Here is a 24,040-nt window from a genome sequence, read left to right as displayed (position 1 = left end):
CAGTAAGCCGAGACCACGCCGCTGCACTCCAGCCTGGGCAACAGAGTGAGACTCCGTCTCAAAAAAAACAAAAACAAACAAACAAACAAAAAAACAAAGACAACAAGGTGTATTAGATAATGCACTTAGCATAGCCTCTGGCATTCTGTTCATGTTCACTATGCTGTTATATACTGTTATTGCTTGTGAGAAACGCTGCAGGGCCCCTTGGTCACAAATAGGATGACGATCCAGTCCTGGCTCTGGAGGAGGCTGATGGTAAACACGGACCTTTGGGAGTTTATTTAGATGTTGCTGGAGTAAATGACTGCACATGTAGCAGCAGCTTCTCCGATTTGCTCTTTTGGATTCATTCTCTTTACTTCTCTATCATGTTGTGAAGCCAGGGAGGCTGAATCCCACAGATTGTGTGTCTGGGCTCATGGTCGGCTGGAGTCATGATGGCTGAGCCAGTGGGAGGACCAACAGAAGCCAGGCAGGCCTGGGAATTGAGGTGGCAGAGGCATCCCCACGCATCTTCTCTGTTTGGACACCATGTCTTGGGGTCACATGGCCAAAGCTCTCTCTGGGCAGTGACTTTTCTATGGTTCTACCTTATAGGCTGCAAGGAACCTCCTGCCCGCCCTGGGCTTCCATCCCTGAGAGTGGTGGCTGCGTCTCACCTTTGCCAGGCACTCATTCCTTGTTTCTCCCCCTAACCGTGCCCACCCCTCCACACAGTCCCTTCATCACAGCCTTTGCATTTGAGCCATTTAACCACTGATGGTGAACTTGGCTTCCTCCTCGCACTGTCATTGAATCAATAGCTAAGTCCACACCTTTTCCAAATTCCCAAACGCCAGGATTTGTATTTTTATTTTATTTTTTTATCTAGGAGGTTCCAAGCTTTGCATTTAACTTTTGACTACTCATTTTCACCTCACCCTTAGAAGACGAGCACATTGTCAATGGGTGTGGAATTGCGTAAATTCCCCATTTAGAATAAAGCAGGTGAAGCAGGTGTTCTGGAAGCGGCACAGGGAGCTCGGTCCTCTCAGAGTAAAATAAGGAGCATGGACTAACGTGCAGCTCACAGGTTCCACAAGTTCAGGAATTTTTGACTTCTACAGTTTGGGGGAGCGACTTACAGGTAAAACAGTCGACTTGGGAGACCTGGACTCACTTCCCAGTTTTCTCAGACGTGCTCCAAGGCTGTTCCCTGGAGATGTAACCCCCTTTTCTACACCTTTGTGCTTGAAATTCCAGGGCATGGTCCCTGAAATCCAGCATACACAATCACAGGCTCCTTGAACTCAAGACTTGGAAGCCTGCCCTGGAATGAGATCTTCACATAAATTCCACTCTTAGATCCCAGAAGTCTTTCAGTAACCAACCCTTTACCTATTCGTGTCTCCTTTTTTTTCTTTTAATATTTTCCCTTAATGAGTTATATAGTAACTTGAAAAGATAACTAACCGTATTATTATCCTGTGGCTGCTTTAACAAATTAGCACAAACTGGGGGGTTAAAACAGCAAAAATTTATCTCCTCATTTTCTGGGAGGCAGAAATCCGAAATCAAGACGTTGCTGGACAACGCTACTTCTGAAGGCTCTAGGCAGCATCACAGCCTGTCTCTGCTGGCTTCTGGGGTTTCTGAGGATCCTGGTGTTCTCTGGCTTGTAGATGTCTTGCTCTCGTCTCTGCCTCCATCCTCCATGGCCTCACTCCTGTGTGCTTGTCTTTTATCTTCTTTTTCTTTTTTTTTTAAGACGGAGTTTTGCTCTTGTTGCCCAGGCTGGAGTGCAATGGCACCATCTTGGCTCATGGCAACATTTGCCTCTGGGGTTCAAGTGATTCTCCTGCCTCAGCCTCCTGAGTAGCTGGGATTACACGCATGTGCCACCACGCCCGGCTATTTTGTATTTTTAGTAGAGACGGGGTTTCTCCGTGTTGATCAGGCTGATCTTGAACTCCTGACCTCAGGTGATCCACCTGCCTCGGCCTCCCAAAGTGCTGGTATTGCAGGCATGAGCTACCATGCCAGGCCATTGCCTTTTATCTTCTTAAAGGACACCAGCCCTTAGATTAAGCTTCATCTTACGCCAAGGACAAATATGCCTTAACTTAAATTAATCTGAAAAGACTCCGTTTCTGAATAAGGTCACGTTTACAAATTCTGGGTGAATATTTGAGGGACACTATTCAATGCAGCATAGTTACAAAATCATTTTTATCATAATATAGTTTCTTCTCAACTTTTTTGCTCTAAATTTTATGAAATTTGAAGCTTTCTGAGCTATTAACATATATGTTCAAATTATACAAAGTTTAGTGTGTCAGTTTTTCATTTTTGGTAATCTTGTATTCTTTTTGTCTGCATACTCAGTGTGTACTATGGTGTTTAATAGCATTTTAAATATCTGTATTTTTCTTCAGGAGAACACATCAAAGATGAGATTTTCCTTTTAGGTTTGTCAGTTAATATCTTCTCTTTCGCCATAGTTTATTTATAGTTCCTGGCTTATGTAAGTAATAGGTTCAGTATTTTATAATGACACATGAGAACAGCTTATGAAATAAGATATAAACCATGGAAATATAATGTGCGATTTTTCTGTGGTTCTTTTAATAAACTGAATCAGACAGCAATCTGCTTGAAGATACAACTCACAGTTGAGAAATAAAATTTTTAAAGGTGGTAAGTTCCAAGAGAAAGAATGTAAATAATAAGCTTACTCTCAGGTTGAACTTGGGAAAAAAATATAAGAAATCTAATGACAAGTTTGATAATAAGTGGAGTGAACAAAGTGGAGATTTGAGAGGACCTATTTCTACAAATTACCACTTCATTGAATTGGAAAAATATTTTAAATGATATTTAAAATTTAAAAATATAGTACTACATATTTCTAGATAATTAAATTATATGGTATTATATATAAGATTATATTTAGTATTATATCATACATATAAATTAATATATATAATGCTACATTTTATAATACTTAACTAATATATATATGAATGCATTATGAATAACAATATACTATTAATATTCTATATGATATAATATATGTATATAAATATGTAGGTATATTTATATAATATGTATTTATAGTACTACTACATATTACCATAATTTAACTAATACTATTACCAATACTAGTTATATTAGTATATTATAACTAATACTAATAGCTCAGTATTGTAATACTAATAGATGTGTTTATGTAGATATATTTATATATCTATATAAAAAACACAATGAATGTATTGGCTAGCATCACATGCTATGAAGAATAATGAATGAAGCAGAGAAATGTGATAGAGACCAACAGAAGAGATGCAGTGGCTTTTTCAACATAGTGGCCAAGTGATGACTCTGTCATGTTCAATATGGTGGCCAAGTGAAGCCTCTGTGTCATTTTCAATATGGTGGCCAAGTGAGGACTCTGTGTCATTTTCAATATGGTGGCCAAGTGAAGCCTCTGTGTCATTTTCAATATGGTGGCCAAGTGAAGCCTCTGTGTCATTTTCAATATGGTGGCCAAGTGAAGCCCCTGTGTCATTTTCAATCTGGTGGCCAAGCGAAGCCTCGTTGTGTAGGTGAGACCTGTCCTACAGCAGGAGGGATGAAGGAGAGATGTCTGAGGGAAGGCCTTCTCAGAAAAAGGAAACAATAGACAGCAGGGGAAGATGAGTGTTTAGTGACAGGGATGTTAGGTTGTGAGTGTGGCCAGGGCAGAGCCAAGAATGAGGACAGTCACCTGAGACAACGCAAAGCCCGGAATGGCCATTTGGCCCCTCACATGCAGGGCCTTCAGCCACTGGAAGGGCATTGGCTTTTAGGGAGTTAGGTGGGAAGCCACACAGGGTTTGAGCAGTGGTGTGGGTGACTCCTCTGCTCCTGTGCTGAGAATCCTGTGAGAAGCCAGCTGTGGAGGTGGGAGACCAGCAGGAAGGCTGCCATGAAAACATAGACGGAGAAGAATGAGATGTGCCTGAGTGTTGGGGCAATGGAAATTGTGAGAACTGGTCCCAGTCTGGGTAAGTTCTGATGGAAAAGTCAACACTATTTGGTGACAAGTTTTTTGAGGGATGCAAAAGAAATAGAATAGTGAGGAGGAATTCCTGTTGAGAATTAAGATAAGAGCATCAATGAAAATATAGTAAGTCAAGAGCTACACTCTTTCATGGAGACCAACAGATTGTACAAAAATGTGTGAAATGGGGTCACTTGCATAATGGGATGAAGTGGAAGTGACACAGGGACCCCCACAGATGGTGGGAGCAGGGGGAACAGAGAGTTTGATGATATAAGATAAGGAGCAGGAGACTGAAATTTCTGCTTCTGATCATGATGGAATAGTAGAGAGCCACCTTCTACCATAAACACACCTGCAAAACACATGAAATAACAGTGTTCAGACAGTGGAGCACAGACTGAGTGCTGGCCAGGGCGCGGGGAACGAGAACTCTCTTTAATTCTGCTGGAGTGGACAATTGAATAGGACCTTTGGAAAACTGTGGGTTCATTTGCTATAAATTTAAACATGTTCTTAACATACGGCACAGTCATCCCACTGTTAGATGGTTATTGAAGAGATGTGAAACTTATGTGCTCTCAAAAACCTGTGTACATGAATGTTTTTAGCAGCTTTATTGATAATGGCCAAATACTCGAAATAACCCAAATGTCTGTCACATCCACTGTGGCACATCCACACGGTGGAATCCTATTTGGCAATATAGAAGAATGAACTAGTGATCTGTGAAGCAGCATGGTTGGATCTTGAATGCATTTTGCTAAGTGAAAGAAAAACTAAAAAGTTGTATGTTTACAATCCATTTATGTGACATTAGGGAAAAGGCAGAATTATAAAAAAGAAAAGCAGACTACTTGAGGGAAGGCTTCACTACAAAGGAGCTGCACCAGGAAAATTTTGGGGAGATTAACGGAACTTTTCTACATAGTTCATTTTGTTTTTTTTAGAGACAGGGACTCACTGATGCCTAGGCTGGAATGCAGTGGTGCCATCATAGCTCACTGCAGCCTTGAACTTACTTATAGGCTCAAGTGATCCTCCTGCCTCAGCCTCCCAAGTCACTGGGACTACAGGCATTCACCACCACTCCTGGCTAATTAAAAAAAAAAAACTGTAGAGACAGGATCTCTCGCTATGTTTCCTAGGCTGACCTTGATCTTCTGGCTTCCAATGATCCTCCTGCCTTGGCCTCCTAAAATACTGGGATTACAGGTTGTGAGCCACTGTGCCCAGCTTCTACATTTTGATTGTGCTGTTTACATAAATTTTATACATTGTCTAAACTCATATGAATATATGCTACAAAGATTGAATTTTCCTGTGTGTAAATTTTAAAAATGCTAAGTGAAATGATCAATTTCCTGGAAAAATATTAATTCCTAAAATGGACTCAAGGAATGGTAGGCTTGGATAGAAAAATAACTATAGAAGAAATTTATGAATGCAAGTCAAAAACACACATCCAACTGAACAGATAAAAGGATATATGCCCAATTGATTATCGACAGAGGCATAAAGTAAATTCAATGAAAGAAAACCTTTCAGCACATGGGTGCTGGAGCATTAGACAAAAATAGGCAAAATAAAAAATAAAAGAAAAGAATCTTGAGCTAAGTTTCGCACCTTTTACAAAAATCAACTCAAAATGAGTCATGGATTTAAATGTAACACCTGCAGCTATAACACTTTTAGGGAAAAGCACACACACAGAAGAAAACTTTGGGCCCTCAGGCTATGCAAAGCTTGACACCAAAAGCATTATCTGTAAAAAAGAAGATTGATGATTTGGACCTCATCAAAATCAAAAGCTTTTTCCCTGAGAAAGATCTTGTGCAAAGGACAAAATGTCAAGCTATAGACTAGGGAAAATACTTGCAAAATACCCATCTGACAAAGACCTTGGACCTAAGATTTATGAAGAACTCTAAGAACTCAAAGGTAAAACAGAAACATTCCAACTAGAAAATGGACAAAAGATATGAACAGACATTTCACTGAAAAGCATACACAGGTGGAGAGTAAGCACACAGAAAAATAGAGAAACACAAATTAAAATAACAATCAGATATCACTAAAGACCTGACATAATGGCTAAAATTTAAAAAATGGTGATGATTTTAAATGCTGGAGAAGATACTGATACATTGAGTCACTCATGTATTGCTGGGAGGAATGTGGAATGGTGAAGTATGCAGAATATATTTTGGCAGTTTCTTCTAAAACTAAACACGTACTTAACATATGACCCAGAAATCACTCTCACACTAAATCCTGCACTTGAATGTTCATAGCAACTCTATGTATAAGAGCTAGAAAATGAAAACACCAGAAATGTCCTTCAGGGGACGGAGGGTTAAAACCAACTGTGGTACAAACATCTTGGGAGGATCTCAAGGAAGTTATGCTGAACAAAGAAAGCTGATCTCCAAATGTTGCATATCCTATGTTTCCATTTATATAATGTTTGAAACTAGAAAATTGTGGAGATGCAGACAGATTAGTGGATGTCTGGGTTAGCAATGGGGTGGAGGGGGTGTGACCACAACGGGAACCTCCTGGTGATGGAGCCGTTCTGTGTACTGATTGTGGAGGTGGTGGCATGAATCTGCTCGTGGAGTAGCACTGCATAAATCTACACACACACCAAACCAGTGTGTATAAAACTAATACAATCTGAGTAAGCGCCAAGGATTCTATCCATGTCAAGTTTCTGGTTCTGAGGCTGTATTATAGTTATGTATAATATCACCATTGTCTGTTGGGGAAAATTGAGTCAAAAAGACACGGAATTGGCCAGGTGCAGTGGCTCATGCCTGTAATCCTAGTACTTTTGGAGGCCAAGGCGGGTGAATCATGAGATCAGGATTTCGAGAGCAGCCTGGCCAACATGGTGAAACCCCGTGTCTACTAAAAATACAAAAATTAACCAGGCATGGCAGAGGGTGCCTGTAATCCCAGCTACTTAGGAGGCTGAGGCAGGATAATTGCTTGAAACCAGAAGGCGGAGGTTGCAGTGAGCCAAGATCAGGAGATTGCACTCCAGCTTGGGCAAAAGAGCAAAACTCCATCTCAAAAAAAAAAAAAAAAAAAAAAAAAAAAAAAAAGACACGGGATCTCCCTGTGCATTTTCTTTGCAATATTCTGTGAAATTGAATCTATAATTATTTCAAAATAAAAAATTAAAAGAAATCTACTTGTAAACAAGTACTAATGAATTTTTGTGGGAATACCATCAAACTGCTCATAATAGTCAACCTAAGTCTCATTTTAGAACTTAATTTAAATTCAGGCTCCTGGAATCTCTCTGAATCTGCTGTCCAATTCAGGGGTCCAATTGGGCTGTCCAATTCAGGAACCGTTCATTGCTCAATTAAACCCCTTTAAATTTAGTTTGGCTGAAGTTTTTCTTTTAACACTTCCTTCTTTGTTCCCTACCAATACATCAGGAACGAATGCCACCTGAAATTGAGAATGGCTGCTTGGAAACATGCAATGACTTCTCATCACAGCAAACGCCCATGTGCAATGTGATGTGAGAATGGCTGCTTGGAAACATGCAATGACTTCTCATCACAGCAAACGCCCATGTGCAATGTGATGTGAGCAGGCAGATCTTAGCTGTGTTATGGACGGCTGGGTGCCACAAACAGTGCTTCAAAAGCCAGCCGGGGCCACAGGCTGACAGTCAGACCCAGTAAACATGGAACACAAAGGCAGCCACCTGCCAGCCCCTTGGAAGGCATCCCTGGTATTTGTGTGTTATTCACTAGGGAAGGCGTCCTGGTGTGAGCTGAAGATGCAGAGCTGAGTGAACCCTCTGCCCTGCACCCCTGAGGCCACTGGGAGCAGGTGCAGAGGGCATGCCATCTGGAGAGACAGACATTGGATAATGAATTGGGGACAGCCAAATAGTTCCAGGTCATATTCAGTGAGAGGCCTGCTGGGCCCTGGGCCTCAGGTTTCCAAGATGTTGAGTCTGAATAGCCCAGAGGCCCATAATTCTCTCTCTCCTTCTGGCTTTGTCTCACCCATGGCCAAGCAAGCCCTGGAAATTACTTCATGGTGTACCAGGAGCCTGGACACCTCATGGCCTTTTCAACACCCCCAGAGACGTCTGGAAAAAATCTTGCTAGATTCCCGTGCAGTGATTTTTCACTCTGCCGACCACTTACCTCCTAAGATTATCGTCAGCGTGGTTTATCATTTATCTCTGCCATGTGGCTGTATGTTAACTGTGGAGAGAATGACCACAATGGTCAGGTTATTGCTAAACAAGATAAATTGTTATAAATTATAATTTTCCTTTAACACAGTTTTAACAGTGTGTTAACTAATAAGACACAATGGAAGGAAAAGAAAAGAGCAGTTGCCAAGGAAACAGTAGGTTTCTAAATGAGCATCGCAATGAATAGGCAGGTAAAATGCAAAACTGGCAATGAAATTAAGTTCTCTCCCTATTTCAAAACCGAGAGTACCATGTCCTGCAAAAAAAACGACGGGACCTATTTTCTTATCAGCCTCCGTCCCAGATGAAACAATGAGTCAGAGAAGATAGAATCTGTTCCTCCTGACTGAGCTTCGTAATTCCCAGTCATAACTTGGGCGGTGCCTGCGCAGTAAATTATATCGTTCACGATTATAAGTTTCACTCATGCTCTTGTGTTCCAACTTCGCACTGAGAAAAACACAGTGAAGCACAGACCTCAATCCAGGACCAGCCCCCCTCATCTTCTGTCCATCGGCCCACAGGGGAAAAACCTTACGGCCTGCAGAACTGGAGTGCTCTCCATCTGTGAGCCACCTGGCCTTCCTCAAGTTCCTAAAACCCCGAACACTGACATATTCAAAACTACCCTTGAGATGTGTTTTCATTAAATGAGGTCTTAAATGAGACATCTGAGAATTGCCCGGCTGACTTCCTGACATAGAACACAGGTTTTGCCTTCTTCCTTCTTTTGGTTTCTTTCAGGTTAAAAATAACAACATAACAATCAGCTTTCATTTGGTCACTTGAGGCCATGCCTTTATGGTGACTGATGGTCCAGGGAAGAGAGAGGGTGATGAACTGAAAGAAAAACGACACTAGGAAAAGGACAAACGAGAAGGAGAACAGAACAGAACAGAACAATGAGAAGGGCATGGGGTTTGTGGGAAGGGAACACGCAGGCAGCAGGGCCAGCAGGGAGAGCCAGGAAAGAAGACAGGCCTGAGCGCCACGTGAAGCCACGAAGAGGCAGATCTTGTGAGTCTCTGGTGCTCCAGGAATGTTCCTTACTAATGCTGGGAAACTTACAGCAAGCCAGCAAATTAGGAAATAAAAGTGTCATAGTATAAATTAAAAAAAAAAGAAGAAAAAAAAAGCTCAGGTAATTAATTCTCTTGCCTGAGTGCAGAGAGTTCCAGTGTGGAGACAGGAGTCTGGGTCTAATCCAGGACCCATTCCTTTCTTACTGGGCCACTGCCCTTCTTCTTCCTGACCCCTTGGGAAGTCAGTGACCCTCCAACACCCACAGGCTGCTCCCCCACAGACTGATCCTCCCACCCCAATCTCCACTGCTTTCCACCCTCATGAACCATCTGCCTAGTTCTGTTTAACCCTAACTCTAACCCTGCTGGAGTATTAGTTGGAGCCTCAGTTGCTACAGAAGAGTCTGGCCCAATGTCTCCAAAAACCTCTTTCTGCGTCTTCCTGTACCCTAACTCGACCAGATGCCTTTGCTCTACCCACACAGGGCTCCTGGGTTCCCAAATCTACAATGTCATGGCTTGGCCCCTTTTCTACTCACAGTTACAGAGTTGATGGTGGAGTTCAAACTCTATTCCCACAGCACTCATATCGAGTGTCTGGGCAGCAGGGGCTGTATCTTTTACAAATATTTTTAAACATAATCCACACAGATCCCAAAGTACAGGAAGCTTTCTCAATGGTCCATGCTGATTTTGATACAGTAAATGAAACTCTCAATGAGCTTAAGGGACGTAGGGTCCAGAATGCTGGGCCTGGATCTGGGTTTCTGTGTTTTGATGAATGGTTTAATAAGATCATGGACTGTGTAAAATCAAACAAGCAAAACCCCCAAGCTTCGGTCACTCCAGGAATTAAGAACATGACACGTTGTTAGCTATGTGAAAACAAGGAAACAAAAAAACCGAAGCCGGACACTCAGTGAAGTCACTTTGGGAATAAAGAACATTCAACATCACGGGGTGCTGGGTTTAGCAGCAAAGGTTGAAAGGTCAGCTACAATGATGGACTTTCAGTGGGTGGAAAATTACTTATTTTGACCTCATTACTCAGTTATGAAGTAGAAAACGATACCACGTCCCCCCGAGGGCACTCCTTCTGGCTGTATGATCCAGGTCAGAAGTGGATCAAGTTTGACTTTTCATCTCCCCTTTCCAGACCACTCGATAACACTCCCGATCACCCATACAGTAGACTCAGGGGAAAGAGTGAAGCTACAAAAATATATTTGCTAGTTGTCTTGTTGAATTGCTGCATGAAGTCATGGATCTGCCTGAGGTGGTATAGGAAGATACGGATGATGCAAAGAGGGCCCAGAAATAAACCCTGGGATACAATAATATTTACAGGGGAACCAGCAAAGCAGGTGGGAGGGGGAAGTCATTGGTGTAGGAAAACACTGGGTTGTGCCATACCCTGGCAGCCAGGTGAGCGAAGAGCAGGTCTGAAACACTCAGCTCAGTGGAGATGCACACCCTGGCAGCCAGGTGAGGGAAGAGCAGGTATGACACGCTGAGCAGTGGAGAGGCCAAATAACATGAAGACCAAAGGCGGATCGTTCTCTTTGGAAGGTGATATGGTTCGGCTGTGTCCCCACCCAAATCTCACCTTGAATTGTAATAATCCCCATGTGTCGTGAGAGGGACCTGATGGGAGGTCATTGAATCACGGGAGCGGGTTTTTCCCATGCTGTTCTCGTGATGGTGAGTGTCACGAGGTTTGATGGTTTTATAAACGGGAGTTCCCTTGCACAAGCTCTCTTGCCTGCCACCCTGTAAGAGGTGACTTTGCTCTTCCTTGGTCTTCCACCATGATTGTGAGGCTTCCCTAGCCATGTGGCACTATGAGTCCATTAAACAGCTTTCCTTTAGAAATTATCCAGTCTAGGGTATGTCTTTATTAATAGCATGAGAGCGGACTAATACAGAAGGATAAAAACTATTGATGACTCCAAACACAGTGGATTCATAGAATTATGAGTTCAAAAATCTGATTAAGGTGAGGTCAAAGGAAATGGTGGGTGAAGAAGTAGGTATAGTGGCTAGAGCAACTAGATAATTCTTCTTTATAGTTATAATATAAAAACTATAATCACAGGGGAAATGAGATGTGATGGTTTTTTGCTTGTGGCAACAGTATATATAGAATAATGGGTTCTGTCTCTTTCTGTATTCAGTCCCACCTCTCTCTCTCTCTCACACACACACACACACACACACACATACACACACACACACCCCTCACCTGAATAATCTAACATGTGCAGACCCTGAGCCCTCATAACCACCCTGGAAGAGATTTGAAAAATCTTTGAGAGATTTGGACATATTTGAACCTCTTGCTGGCATAAAGTGAAAGCTTTACCAAACAAATCAAGCAGAATCAGTTAGAAAATAACTTATGACCCAAAGAAGCAGTGAAAATAACACAAATGCAAACACATGTATGCATATATACATACAGGACACAACTCAAATGGGTACAATTTAAATACACTTTCTTGTATCTCAGAATGGTTTTTGCTCCTGGCTTCCTTAATAATGATACTGTGATTGAATCAGTATCTTTGATGTTCACTACTACTTCTTTCCTTTTTTAATGTTTAATACTTTAACAGTGTTCTATGAAGTTCTCTGGTTCTATCTTTCTCTGATGTCACTTTTATCCTTTGTCATTTTTATTTCATTCATTGTATTTCACTCATCTTCTCTTCTACTCTAGAAGGCCCAGGAAATAAGTTTCCATATTTGATTCAAATTTGTACCATCAATACTTAGTATAGTAATGATCATTTATTTAGTAGATACATTTTTAAATATTCTTTCTCTTTCTTGAAAATATTAAAGAAGCAAAACTTTTTTTAAAAGAACCTGTTACATAGACATTTACTAATTCAAATTCACTGAATTTAGCTAGCCAGATTTTACTGTTTTGATGTATCTAAAGTGGTCTTGATAATTAAATATTCTGTGCTATCCTATTCTTAATATCAAATCTATTGATAAAATTATGATACAATGCTTGTCTCAGTGGATCATAGTAGAAGACTCATTTTTGATTAAAAATATTATTAATCACATTCTTCATTCCAAAACTAATTGTCTATAGAAAGGAATATGCACATCTTATGTATTTTGTGGTTTTGTTTCATTCTGATTTCTTTATTTTTAAATAAATTTTATTTTGCATAATTTAAGGTATAAAATGTGATGTTATGAGGAACATAAAGATATTAAAGTGGTTACTATTGTGAAGCAAATTAACATATTCATCATCTCACTTATTTACCCTTTGTGTGGTCCATGTGGCAAAGCAGCTACAATTTATTCATTTAGCACAAATTCTGAATAAATACAACAAAGTTCTTACTGAGAACCTTGCTAACTTAACTTAGTGAATTTGAATTAGTAAATATCTAACTAACGGATTATTAGATATTTTAACTAACAGATTATTTTAAAAAGTGTTTTACTTTTTTTTTAATGTTTCTAAGAAAGAGAAAAATGTTTATAAATGTGCCTACTACGAAAATGATGTTTACTATACTAAGTCTTGATGGTGAAATAGATTTGGTTTTACGTCTGAGGCTAGAAAAAAACTTTGTTTACTTCCTAAAAGGAAGGGTGCCTTCTTTTTCTGTAAGGTGACAGTGGTTTTCTTTTTGCTTCATTTGTGAGAAACCCAGAGACAAATTTAAAGCCTTATCATACCAAGTACATCCAGTTTATAGTTGGCTTATGTATAATTGCTCCAAAATACAAACCTTTGGTTTTAAGGCACTTTGAATTGATTCTGAAAAGGGGCAGGTCTGTATAAGTATAAGTAAAACATGTGTTTAGATTGGACAGTTTCCCATATCTTATGAGATGATTTTCTTGGCTGACAAATGGAAGGCAGATCAAATAACATCCCAAGCAATTTATGGTCTGACATTAAAAGGATGCAGTTGTTTTACAAGTGTGGATATGCATATGGAATTAGGAATAACATATTAATTTTTCAGCATTTTCCAAATCCCAAATTCTCTTTATAAAGCGGGAGGAGAGGGTGCTTTGTTTTCTCAGTTAAAAAGATGTGAATGTGAGCACTGATGCTCATAATGAATTTCTAAATTTATTTCCAGACCTATCAGAACAATAGGACAGAAAGTTTTAGAATTGCCTGTAATCGTTTGAGTTGGCAGAAGCCGGAGGAACATAATGATATAGCACAGCCATCGTCTGCCTTTCCAGCTACGTGGGCAGAATTGGGGAGAGGTTTTATTGAGTAAAATGCAAGTCTGTGGTAATTTAGAGGGAGACTTTCTGATGGAATGGGATGCTTTAATCCCGAAATTTTTATGACAGGTTCTGGAAGGAGCTCATTCAGCACTACAGGAGACACCACCCAGGTGTGTCTGCCCTCAGAAGCCACTGTATTGTGAATGGCGACCAATTTTTTTAAAAAGCACATCAATGTTCCTGATCCTGAGTTATTAGAGTCTGATTATTAATGTATTTAAATAAATCTTATGGCCAGGTCTACATGGGCATGAAAGGCAAACAGTTTCAAGGAATGATTTGAGGCTCTTGTACTTATAAAATTATCTTTACCTCCCTGCTTGAGGAGGTTTCTTTACCCTCAATGCTTAGTGTTTACAGCAGAATATCAACTCCTTACTATTAGGGACTGTTCTGCTTGGGCCACTCAACAGCTCCTCCCCAGCATCAGGAGAGGGCTCAGTTCATAGGAGACATCCACTTCTTATTTGTTGAGCAAGTTGCTTTCTGTTTTCTGGAAGCTCCTAGTTCAAATACAAACCTGCCATGTAGGAGGGATAAATATCAAACATAATAATTTATTAACACCTTGGTACCCCCAGGATTGAAGGAAATGTGCCCAAGAGAGAGTGTGGCTTCAGGGGCAGCAGTGACTGTGCTTTGTCTGAGAAAGATTAACAGAGGAACATGAAAAGAATGCTTATCTCTCCACGTGACATACAGCTGGATCTGGCCTTAATAATCAGTCTCCTGTATTTCAAGAATCATCTCTTCCTTCTGCCTCAACCTGCTTCTCAAAGTTGTCTAGTTCATTTGCAAATCAAGTGTAATGTTCTCCCATCAACTCTAACTCAGGGCATCACTTTCTAAATATGTAGAGAACAAAGGCCATTGGCCATGGCAGCCACACCTGAAAACCCTCTCATCTGAACACAGCTGTCTCAATATGCTTTCAACACGACTGTGACAGTGACACACACAGCTCCTTCTTTGGAGTCACTTTGGCCACCACACACACAGATGTATTGTTACTTAGCATAGTTCTTGGGATTGTCAGCTCGACTCCTAGGAGAAATGTCTCTTCGAAAAGAGACTTAGTGCTGCCTCCTGTCACCAGGGAACACGTGCACTTATCTGCTCTAAGAACAACACAGAAAGATCATACACAAAATTCACTGATGTTGGACAGATGAAAGGCTAGAATGCTCAGCATCCAGCTTTGGGGATAACAAGGGCAGATGCAGGTGGCTCTGAAGCAACATGCGGCCTTCCCAGGGCAAGACGGAGGGAGGCTGAGGCTGAGGGCACACTGGTACTGCATTGCACAGCAGCAGCAGAGTGGAACAGTTTAGACTCCAGGCTGCAACGCGAGACATGCCTGGTGCAGGGGCCACCTCCTTTATCCATCATCTGAAGGATCATGATAGTGACTTAGCATCTTAGAGCTTCAGGTACCTTATGTGTCAAATGGTGAGATAATGTTTACCTTGGAATATCCTTCTTCATAGAATTAAAGCACGTAAAACAGTTAACATTAGTCACTGAAGAAGTGGATAATATTACTTAAAAGTTGGAAAGCTACAGTGAATTGGTGCTGAGGTCATAAGCCTGGGTTCACATGTGAGTCTGCTGTGAATTAAGCCGAGGAATTTCAGTGTGTTCTGCTGTGAGTTAAGCCAAGGAATTTCAATGTGTTACTCAACTCCTCTTCCTTATGTCTTTTCAATTTCCTCAATGGCAAAATGGACAATAATCATATTCTGTATTTGAACATGTTAGGTAAGAAAAAGTTTTGCAAAATAGATATAAATGAGGACATATCTATATCTACATCTATATTTCTATCCATATGTCTCATCTCCATATCTCTTGCCATGTATTCATTGCCTGTAACGTGGATATTCCCCAATGAATGGTAGCCCTTAATACAAGTGTCTTTCCAAAGATTTTTCTGAATTGTAATTTTTATTTGAACATGATATTTCTTGTATGTAATGATTTCCTTTTAACCCAATCATCACATATAAGAACATTTAATTCTGAATCTCTCATGTGTGAATTCTATAGTTATAAAATGATAGTATTATGACAAGAAAAGGATAGAAACTCTTTACACTTCTTTTGCTCATTCAGAGCATTTAACCAGCTCAAATAATATCAAACTTTATTTCAATTTCATCTGTGTCTATATGTGCTGGAAGACTGGTCCACAACTAACCTATTCCATTCATTTCAGCCATCTTCATAACTGATACTGATCTCCATAGTTAATTGGGTCTAATCAATGGCTGAGAAAATTTGATTTCTCAGCTCTTGGCTTGGCAGGAGGTACCTGCTGGAGGTAGAGAGAATGGCAGCTTGGAATTAGTCCAGCAGAACAGAGATGATCTACTTGCTCCAGCAGAGAAAAGAAAATAAAAACAGAACCTCATAAGAAAAAAACAAATTCAAAAAAATAAAAACACTAACACTCTTGCTTTTATAGAAAATAAAATAGCAGCAGGAGGGGAAAAAGAGGAAATACAAACAAGTTATCAAGAGGAAAGGCAGCATTGCTGTGATAAATATATGATTACAACAGACGAATTATGTGGGGTTGATGCTCCTTACAAAACAGGTCTTCGATGGTAAAAAGCAAAACCAAAACAAAAGGTAAAAAACAAGCAAGATTTTTTCCTTTTCTTTTTTTTATTTCACCAACAGAATAACAGAGTCCCAGGGGCAGTGAGGGAGCCAGGGATGAAGAGGTGAGTGGAAGTTGCATTATGTATGCATCTCTCCATGTGTGAAATATCCTTTTGACCAAGACTTTTCAGGAAGCTTCCTTGATTCCTGTAATTTGTAACACGTTGCTTAGTCGAGTTCCCCATGACGAACGTAAACCTAAGACACTAGCTCAGTGCAAATAACACATTCAAGAATGAGATCCAGGGAGCAAGGGGAACAGGCTAGGAAGGAGACTCAGGTAATGAGGGAGGGCTAGGACAGGGATGCTCCCCTAAGGGGCTATGTGTGACTACGTGCTCACTTCCATAGATGACCTGGCAGGTGCCTCAGGATGGTGCATGCATGAAAGAAGGGTAAACTATTTATCCAATGCCTCCCATCCCCCATTGGTCAAAGCTCCTTGGCTGAGCCAGAATTTCAGGTCTAAATATAAAATAATCCCCACAGGTGAACCACTCCTCAGGGTCATGATAGAGGCCCCAGGGTAGGGGCCGGTGGACTCAAGGTGAATGCTGCCTGGTTATCTATGTGTGAACAGCTCAGCATCCCCACAGAATTTGATAACTCAACCTTTGATGGAAAAAAAAGTGAGATTGACGAGATTTGAGAAAGCCATGGTGTTACCTACTAGTGCATTACTTTGTTCTCATCAGATAAAATCTATATATACGTAATTTAAGAACTTTGAGAGTTCTGACAATGACTGATCTCTGTACTAAAGCACAAACTTCAACATGTGTTTAAATCTAATTAAAATAAGAGTAAGTTGAATTAACTTAAATGGCCAAAATGTCTGCTTTTAAGCCACTATATCGTAATTTCTCCCTATGTTGCATGGTTTTCTGTTCTTATTCTAACTGTACTCATTTTTGTGTGGTTATGCAGTCTTCTCAGTAGAATGTGAGTTTATTGAGAGCAGAACTGTAGTGTTTGTGACAAGCACATTGTATGTGCAGCCAGGAGCAGTTCATGATGGCAGTTCACTCTTCGGTGTATTTTTGTGCTTTTCATGGTCGTGTGGATGCGTCATAAGAAATAGACTCTGGGCTGGGCATGGTGGCTCATGCCCGTAATCCCAGCACTCTGGGAGGCCGAGGCGGCCAGATCACTTGAGGTCAGGAGTTCAAGACCTGCCTGGACAACATGATGAAAACCCGTGTCTACTAAAAATACAAAAACCTAGTTGGGCGTGGGGGCAGGTGCCTGTAATCCCAGCTACACGGGAGGCCGAGGCATGAGAATCACTGGAACCTGGGAGGCGGAAGTTGCTGTGAGGCAAGATCATGCCACTGTACTCCAGCCTGGGCGACAGAGCGAGACTCTATCTCAAAAAAAAAAAAAAAAGAAGCAGACTCTGAAGCAGTGATTTACTTGGAGGACATGTGCCAGGGAGTATTCTAAGGAACAAACCTGAAAAGGAGGGAGGAAAGCAGATCCAAGTGAAAGAACAAGTTGAATGTGATGAAGTCGGCTGGCATGGACCTCTCGAGTTGTCCCAAGACCACAGGACAAGGTACCCATTGGATACAGCTGCCTTTGTGGTGGGGGCATAAGCAGGGCAAACAGCTCAGCTCAGAGAAATTCTTGGAGAACAACACAGGAGAGCATTGAGGAGTCAATGATCTTAACATGATCTTAACAGTAGGGGTGGTCACTTCCTCACTGGGAAGGGTCAGGACCGACCCCCATCAACATTCACTCCTTTTGGGTTTCACAGTCTCCTTTAAAGGATTCTCACTAGGAGATGGAACCTGGACTTTAGATAGTGTTAAGAGGGTTGGAGGAAACAGTAGGATCTATGGGAGCCGGGAAACTCATTTCATACATAAAAAAATAAGGATAAAAAGGATTGATTTTTGCTATTAAAAGTAATGGCAAAAACCACGATTAACTTTTGCAGCAAACTAATAAAACAGTGAGGCGGGAACCACGATGTCTTACTGTTTCTACCTTAAGGCTGGTTCGTAGAAGAAGAATTGGATCTGTTCTATCTCTCTCAATAAGGTGAAAGGACAGATGTAAAAATGTTATATTCCTATATCCTATGAGAATGAGTTTTTAGATAAAATACCAAATTAGTGACCTATTAAAAAATTTGAATGTACACTATTAAAATTGAAAACTTATACTCTGTGGAAGGCATTGTTAAGAGAATGATAAGACAAGCTTTAGAGTTGGATGAAATATTTGCAAAACATTTATGTGATAGATTTGTATGTAAAAATGTAAAATGTACAAAGACTTAAAACCCAACAGTTAAAAAAATTCTAATATAAAAATGAGCAAAAAATCTGAACACCTCACCAAAGATAGAAAGATAGAGAGGTGGCAAATAAGCATATGAAAAGATGTTCAACATAATGTGTTATTTAGGAAATGCAAATTAAACAGCAATAGTTCACCACACACCTATTGGAATGCCTAAATTGCAAAGACTGACAATACGATTGCTGGAGAGGATTTGGAGCAACATAAATTCTCATTAATTTCTGGTGGAAGGAAAAAAATGGTATATTCAGTTTGGAAAACTTTGGAAAATTTGTACAAAGCTTACTTTTACTATTGGTGCAACATATGAACACCAATCATCTTCCGAGGTTTCAGCCAACTGATTTGAAGAAGTATGTCTACACAAAAGCCTGCACGCAAATACTTGTTGCATCATTATTTATAATCATCAAAAACTAGTGTCAAACAAGATGTCCTTCAATAGGATAATAACTAAACAAACTGTGAAGTGGATAATTAAGTAGTGGTGTAAGAGGAACTACTACACAGGAATAAAAATAAACTGTCAAGCTATACAGAGATATGAATACTCTTTAATGCAAATTTCTGAGTGAAAGTCACTAGTCTGAAATAGCACCATCTCTTTCTGAGCCCCTTGATAGGACATTTTGGAAAATAATACCATAAGGATGGTAAAAAGGTCATTGGACGTCAGGTTTCTGTGGGATGATGAGTGAACAGGGAAAGCATGCAGGATACTCTCAGGGTGGTCAAACTGCTCTCTGATACTGCAACGGTAGAGGTATGACAGAATGCACTTGTCAAAACTCAGATCTTTAGAGCACAAAGAGAAAACCTTAAGTATGCATTTTTAAATGGATATTTAGGCGGTTGAGAGATCTCAGGATAAAAAACAGAATGTGACAAAAATATATAACTGCATCATCAACAAAGGAGACCATCTTGCTAAGGAAGGTCGCATGGAAATGTTGAGCTGAATGATTTGGAGATGAGTGGGATGCAAGACTAAAGGCTAAAGGAATTGTACATTAAAAAAAAGATCTTTTAATTGATAGTTTTTACCTACAGGAAACAAGTTGACAAATTCTGAAACCACTCTACATGTTCACTGGAATTGAACAATTAAATAAATGAATGGTGGATGACAGGGGCCACTTTTCCCACTATTAGAGTGAGGAGATTACAGATAAGCGAGGAGAGGAAGCTAGAGTGACCCAGGTTGAAACAGATTAGACTTGGAGACATTACTACAAATGCATGTTTATCTTACTACAGATACAAATGATTATATCCAGAAATATTTATAGATAAGTCTATTTACACACGTCTTCTTTTTCTCTGTCTGCCAAGAGAATCTAGAAGTAATGATTTCCCAGTAGCAATGAGCACACTAAGTCTTAAAATATGGTTTCTAATTCCATTCTGCATAACACAACTTATTGGCAAAATGGCTGATTCTAGGACCAGGGTAGGAAATGTACAAGACAAGTCTAGAGCATCTGGTAATATCAGAAAGTAGAAAAGTGCTACACATGCACACACACATACACACACACACACAGTGATGGGGTGTGTCAAAGGGTCACAAGAGTTAACCAAGAATATCTCAATGGGCAAAGCTTGAACAACTTGAACAACAAAATATATGCATTAGTATGATTGAATTTTAATGCAAAATATAAAATTAATATATATAAATCCACACATATAAATAAGAAGAATAAGTAAATAAATGGAGAAGAGACAAATCTTCTTTGCAGAAGAATTCCACATATTATTTGATACCCCACTGTCAAGGAGGTGAAGTATAATTACCTGTGGCTGTGGACAGTGGCTTCTTCCCAAAGAGCTCAGTATTGAAAGGGGGAAAAATGAATAACCCTGCAGGGGAAAAGCTTGACAAACAGGACCTCTGCCAGGTAATCAAGTTCAACATCAACAGTGACTTCATGGTGGTGTCACAGGAGGAGTGCCTTATCTCTGCCATCTCCCTACAAAACACACATAATCTGATTGTGAGAAAAATATCAGCTACATTCTGCAAAATCTAGCCACAACTGCTCATAATTATCATTGCCTTTCAAAACAAGGAAAGACTGAGAAACCATTGTAGCCAATCAGAGACTAGGAGCCATGACAATTAAATGGAATGTGATATTCTTGGGATTATGGAACAGAAAAGAGATATTATGTAGAAATCTGAGAAAATCTGAATAATGTGCAGAATTCAGTTAATGAGGCTGTATCGATACTGGTTCATTAATTGCGGGAAATATGTCATGCTAATACACTCTACCAGTAAGGGAAAATGGGTGTAGATTACATGGATGCTTTCTCTTCACAATAGTTCCATAACTAAAACAACTATTCTAAAATAAAACTGTATTTAAAGAAACAAAAATGTTATAGAGCATCATGATTTCATTTAATATAACATATGTGAGTTATATTTTTAATGTGATGAGCAGTTTTAAATAGTACCAACCTAGAAAATGAACTGGTGTAAATCTAAGATAGCTTCAACTCACAAATGACTTGGTAATTCCAAATTAAGAATTAGAAATAATAATCCTACTGAATAGGTAAATTAAATATTTTTTAAAAAATTTAAGATAAAGAGGCAGATGTGTTTGGTAAAATATGATAGACTTCCTCTGTGAGGCTTGACTTGAACTTTAAGTACTCTTTCTTTGATAGGTAAGATTAATTTCCAGGATAGAGGAAAAGCACCACCCAAGATGTGGGAACAGAAGTTAATATGGTGTCCTGAGAAGACAGCAGTTTTGATTGAGGCTAAGTTTACTTGTTTCTGTATAAGTAATACATACATCTGAGTTATGAGAGGAGGGTTGGTAAGCAGACTTTGACAGGCACCATGAGTAAAAATTTTCCTGTAGTACAATGAGTCATTCAAAGGGAAACAGAGAGATGGAAAATTAATGAGAGCAATTTTAGAATAAGGACATTCATTACAGGACCATGTGTATGCTTTGAATTAGAATGGGAGACAACGGGAGAACAAAAGGATCCAAAAGGTATTCTTTTGCTTTTTAATTGTTCCCAAGCTTTCACCTCCAAATAGCACATGGTACAGCAGCCTCTAAGTGACACAACCTGAGTCATCTAAAATGCAGTCTTAGAAAGTGAGATGATGAAGCTGTTCAGCTGTTTGGCCATTAGTAAACCTCACATTCATTACAATATTACAACCACAATAGCTGGTGAATTATGCAAAATCAAAGTTACTCACCATCATTTCAGGAGTAAAAGGCTTTCTTCCATTTAAGCATTTGGTGATAATATAAATTTTAAAGACAATTGTTGTGAAAGAATTACGTAAAAGATAACAATCGAAAGCCATCAAAATATGCTTTAAAGTATAAGGAAAGTTTTGAAAAATGAAAAAGTAGGTGAGATTGACAGTAAAAAAAAGAAAAAGCAGCTGTGAGACGACCGCAACAGCTTGCCTATCTGTGTCCTAATTCTGCCTATCTTTCTTTTACCAGGTCAGCAGATATTTTTGTATCAATTACAAGCCTGTGTGTTTTTTTTATAAAGCAATTATCTTCTATCGTATGCAACAAGCGCAAGAGATAATAAAACATATGATAAACATATAGAGTTCATAAAAGCAGAGCAAACAGAGAGCAACAAAAATTATGAGAATGTGAATTAGTCTCATAATACAGAAGAGCTGTAATAAAAGATGTCTGCCATTTGTTTGATGTTTGCTTTATTTCACATTCATAATCAGCTGAGACTCAGATTTGTTAGTACTTTCTGGTTATTTTATCAGACTCAGAGCTAAGTTCTGTGAATAAAAAGATCTTAATCCTAGAGTGTTACCAATACAGGGGCAAGCTGCTCACCATATTGCAGCTGCATGAGGCTGTGATTTCAGTTGGGACAATCCAGAACTTGGCTGGATTTTTTTTAATTCTTGGAGAACTATGTGAGCATAGAGAGCTTTGAACATCTGAGGCACATTCTTTGGGAACTAGAAGGCTGTGTGTTTGTGCAAGTTTGTGTATGTGCCGAGGAAAGACCTAGGGAGGAGAAGGACTCAGGCACTCTTCTCTGGCTCACCGTGAGGCTCTGGCCAAGCAGTTATGAAAGCAAAGTCTGTCTTGTAATCCTTCTGATGCTTGAGGTATACCTTGCCACACAGATCCTCTTGGCCAAAGGTAGAAGACAAACAGTGGAGATGTTTAAGAAAATGTTCTGATCAATCTTTGGAGGACTACTTAATTATACTAACCCAGGTGAACCCTAGGAAGCCAGACTTAAAAATAAAAATGGACAACTTAAAAAAAACAAACATTTGGCCAGAAACATTAATGGCACACTCTTGGGAACATAAAAGCTACAAAATTATTTCAGAAAAGTAAATAAACACAAAATCATCAACAAGAAACACAAAATCAAAAGGCAAACAAAACTCCTAACAATAAAACAAATTTTGGGGAGGAATATGAAGAGTTGTTACAATACAGTCTTAAAAAAGTCCAATTTTCAGCAAAGCCTTCTATCTGTTTAAAAGACAATTGCATAAAGTAATAATCATACTACAGTGTTGTTGGAGATATATTGTATAAATATGTAATTTGGATGACAAAAAGAACACAAAAGCAAAGGATGAGAACAGAGGTATATTAAAGAACAGTTTTTGAAAACCATTGAAATTAATATAATGTTAATCAGAACTAGACTGTGTTAAGTTAAAATGCTGATTGGAAACCTGGGTGAAATACAGTAAAAGAAACTATGAGGAAATAAAAAGGAGCACTAGAAAATATATATTTAGTACAAAAGAATTCTCTGTAATCAAGGAGTAAAAGAACAATGCAACAACAACAAAGTCACTAAGAAAAATAAAAAATAGGACAATGGCAGATACAAATTCTATCATGTCAGTAGTTATATTAAATGTGAATGAATTAATTATGCAAATAAATGGCAGAAAATGGAAAAAAGAGTAAAATTTTAATCCAACTATATACAGTCTATAAAAGATACAGTATAAATTCAAAGAGAGAAATAGGTTAAAAATAAAAGGATGGAAGTGATAACACAATAAACCTTGTAACCAAAAGATAGCTCTGGCAGTTAATCCTAATATTTGGCAAAACGGATTTTAAGACAAAAATTTTAGATGTGATAAAGAAGGATATCATGTATCTTTCAGGATCAATGCATCAGAAAATTATAACAATTATGAACAGTATTTACTTAACAAAGGTACTCCGAAATATATGAAACAAAATGGAAAGAATTTTAGGAACCAATACAAAATTTAACAATAATAGAGACTTAAAAACTCAATAATGAATAAAATAACTGGGCAGAAAATTAATAAGAATGTAGAAGATTTGAACATTAAAAACCAGTTCTGTCTAAGAGACATTTCCATGACACTCTACCACGAAAGGCAGAATTTTCATTCTTTTGCAGTACACAAGAAACATTCTCCTGAATAAATATACAATATGTCATAAAACAGGACTTCATAAATTTAAAGGAATGAGTATCACA

The 24,040-nt window shown here is 39.1% G+C and overlaps 1 long non-coding RNA gene across 1 annotated transcript in view, besides 2 other annotated features; it reads left to right on the top strand.

Annotated features, from left to right (window-relative positions):
* Positions 1-24,040, top strand: part of LINC02645 (long intergenic non-protein coding RNA 2645) — a 55,210-nt gene that overhangs the window by 16,306 nt on the left and 14,864 nt on the right. The window lies entirely within an intron of this gene.
* Positions 7,207-7,892: an enhancer, noted in NCBI's record as "OCT4-NANOG-H3K27ac-H3K4me1 hESC enhancer chr10:2519457-2520142 (GRCh37/hg19 assembly coordinates)". NCBI's record gives its function as "activates a minimal SCP1, AML or CMV promoter by ChIP-STARR-seq in primed H9 embryonic stem cells {active_cell/tissue: H9 hESC(primed)}" and the evidence as "EXISTENCE:reporter gene assay evidence [ECO:0000049][PMID:30033119]".
* Positions 7,893-8,580: an enhancer, noted in NCBI's record as "OCT4-NANOG-H3K27ac-H3K4me1 hESC enhancer chr10:2518769-2519456 (GRCh37/hg19 assembly coordinates)". NCBI's record gives its function as "activates a minimal SCP1, AML or CMV promoter by ChIP-STARR-seq in primed H9 embryonic stem cells {active_cell/tissue: H9 hESC(primed)}" and the evidence as "EXISTENCE:reporter gene assay evidence [ECO:0000049][PMID:30033119]".

This window comes from Homo sapiens, chromosome 10 (assembly GCF_000001405.40).
Source record: "Homo sapiens chromosome 10, GRCh38.p14 Primary Assembly".
NCBI lineage: Eukaryota > Metazoa > Chordata > Mammalia > Primates > Hominidae > Homo > Homo sapiens.
The sequence above is the reverse complement of the archived record's forward strand: the minus strand, read 5'-3'. Positions and strand labels throughout refer to the sequence as shown.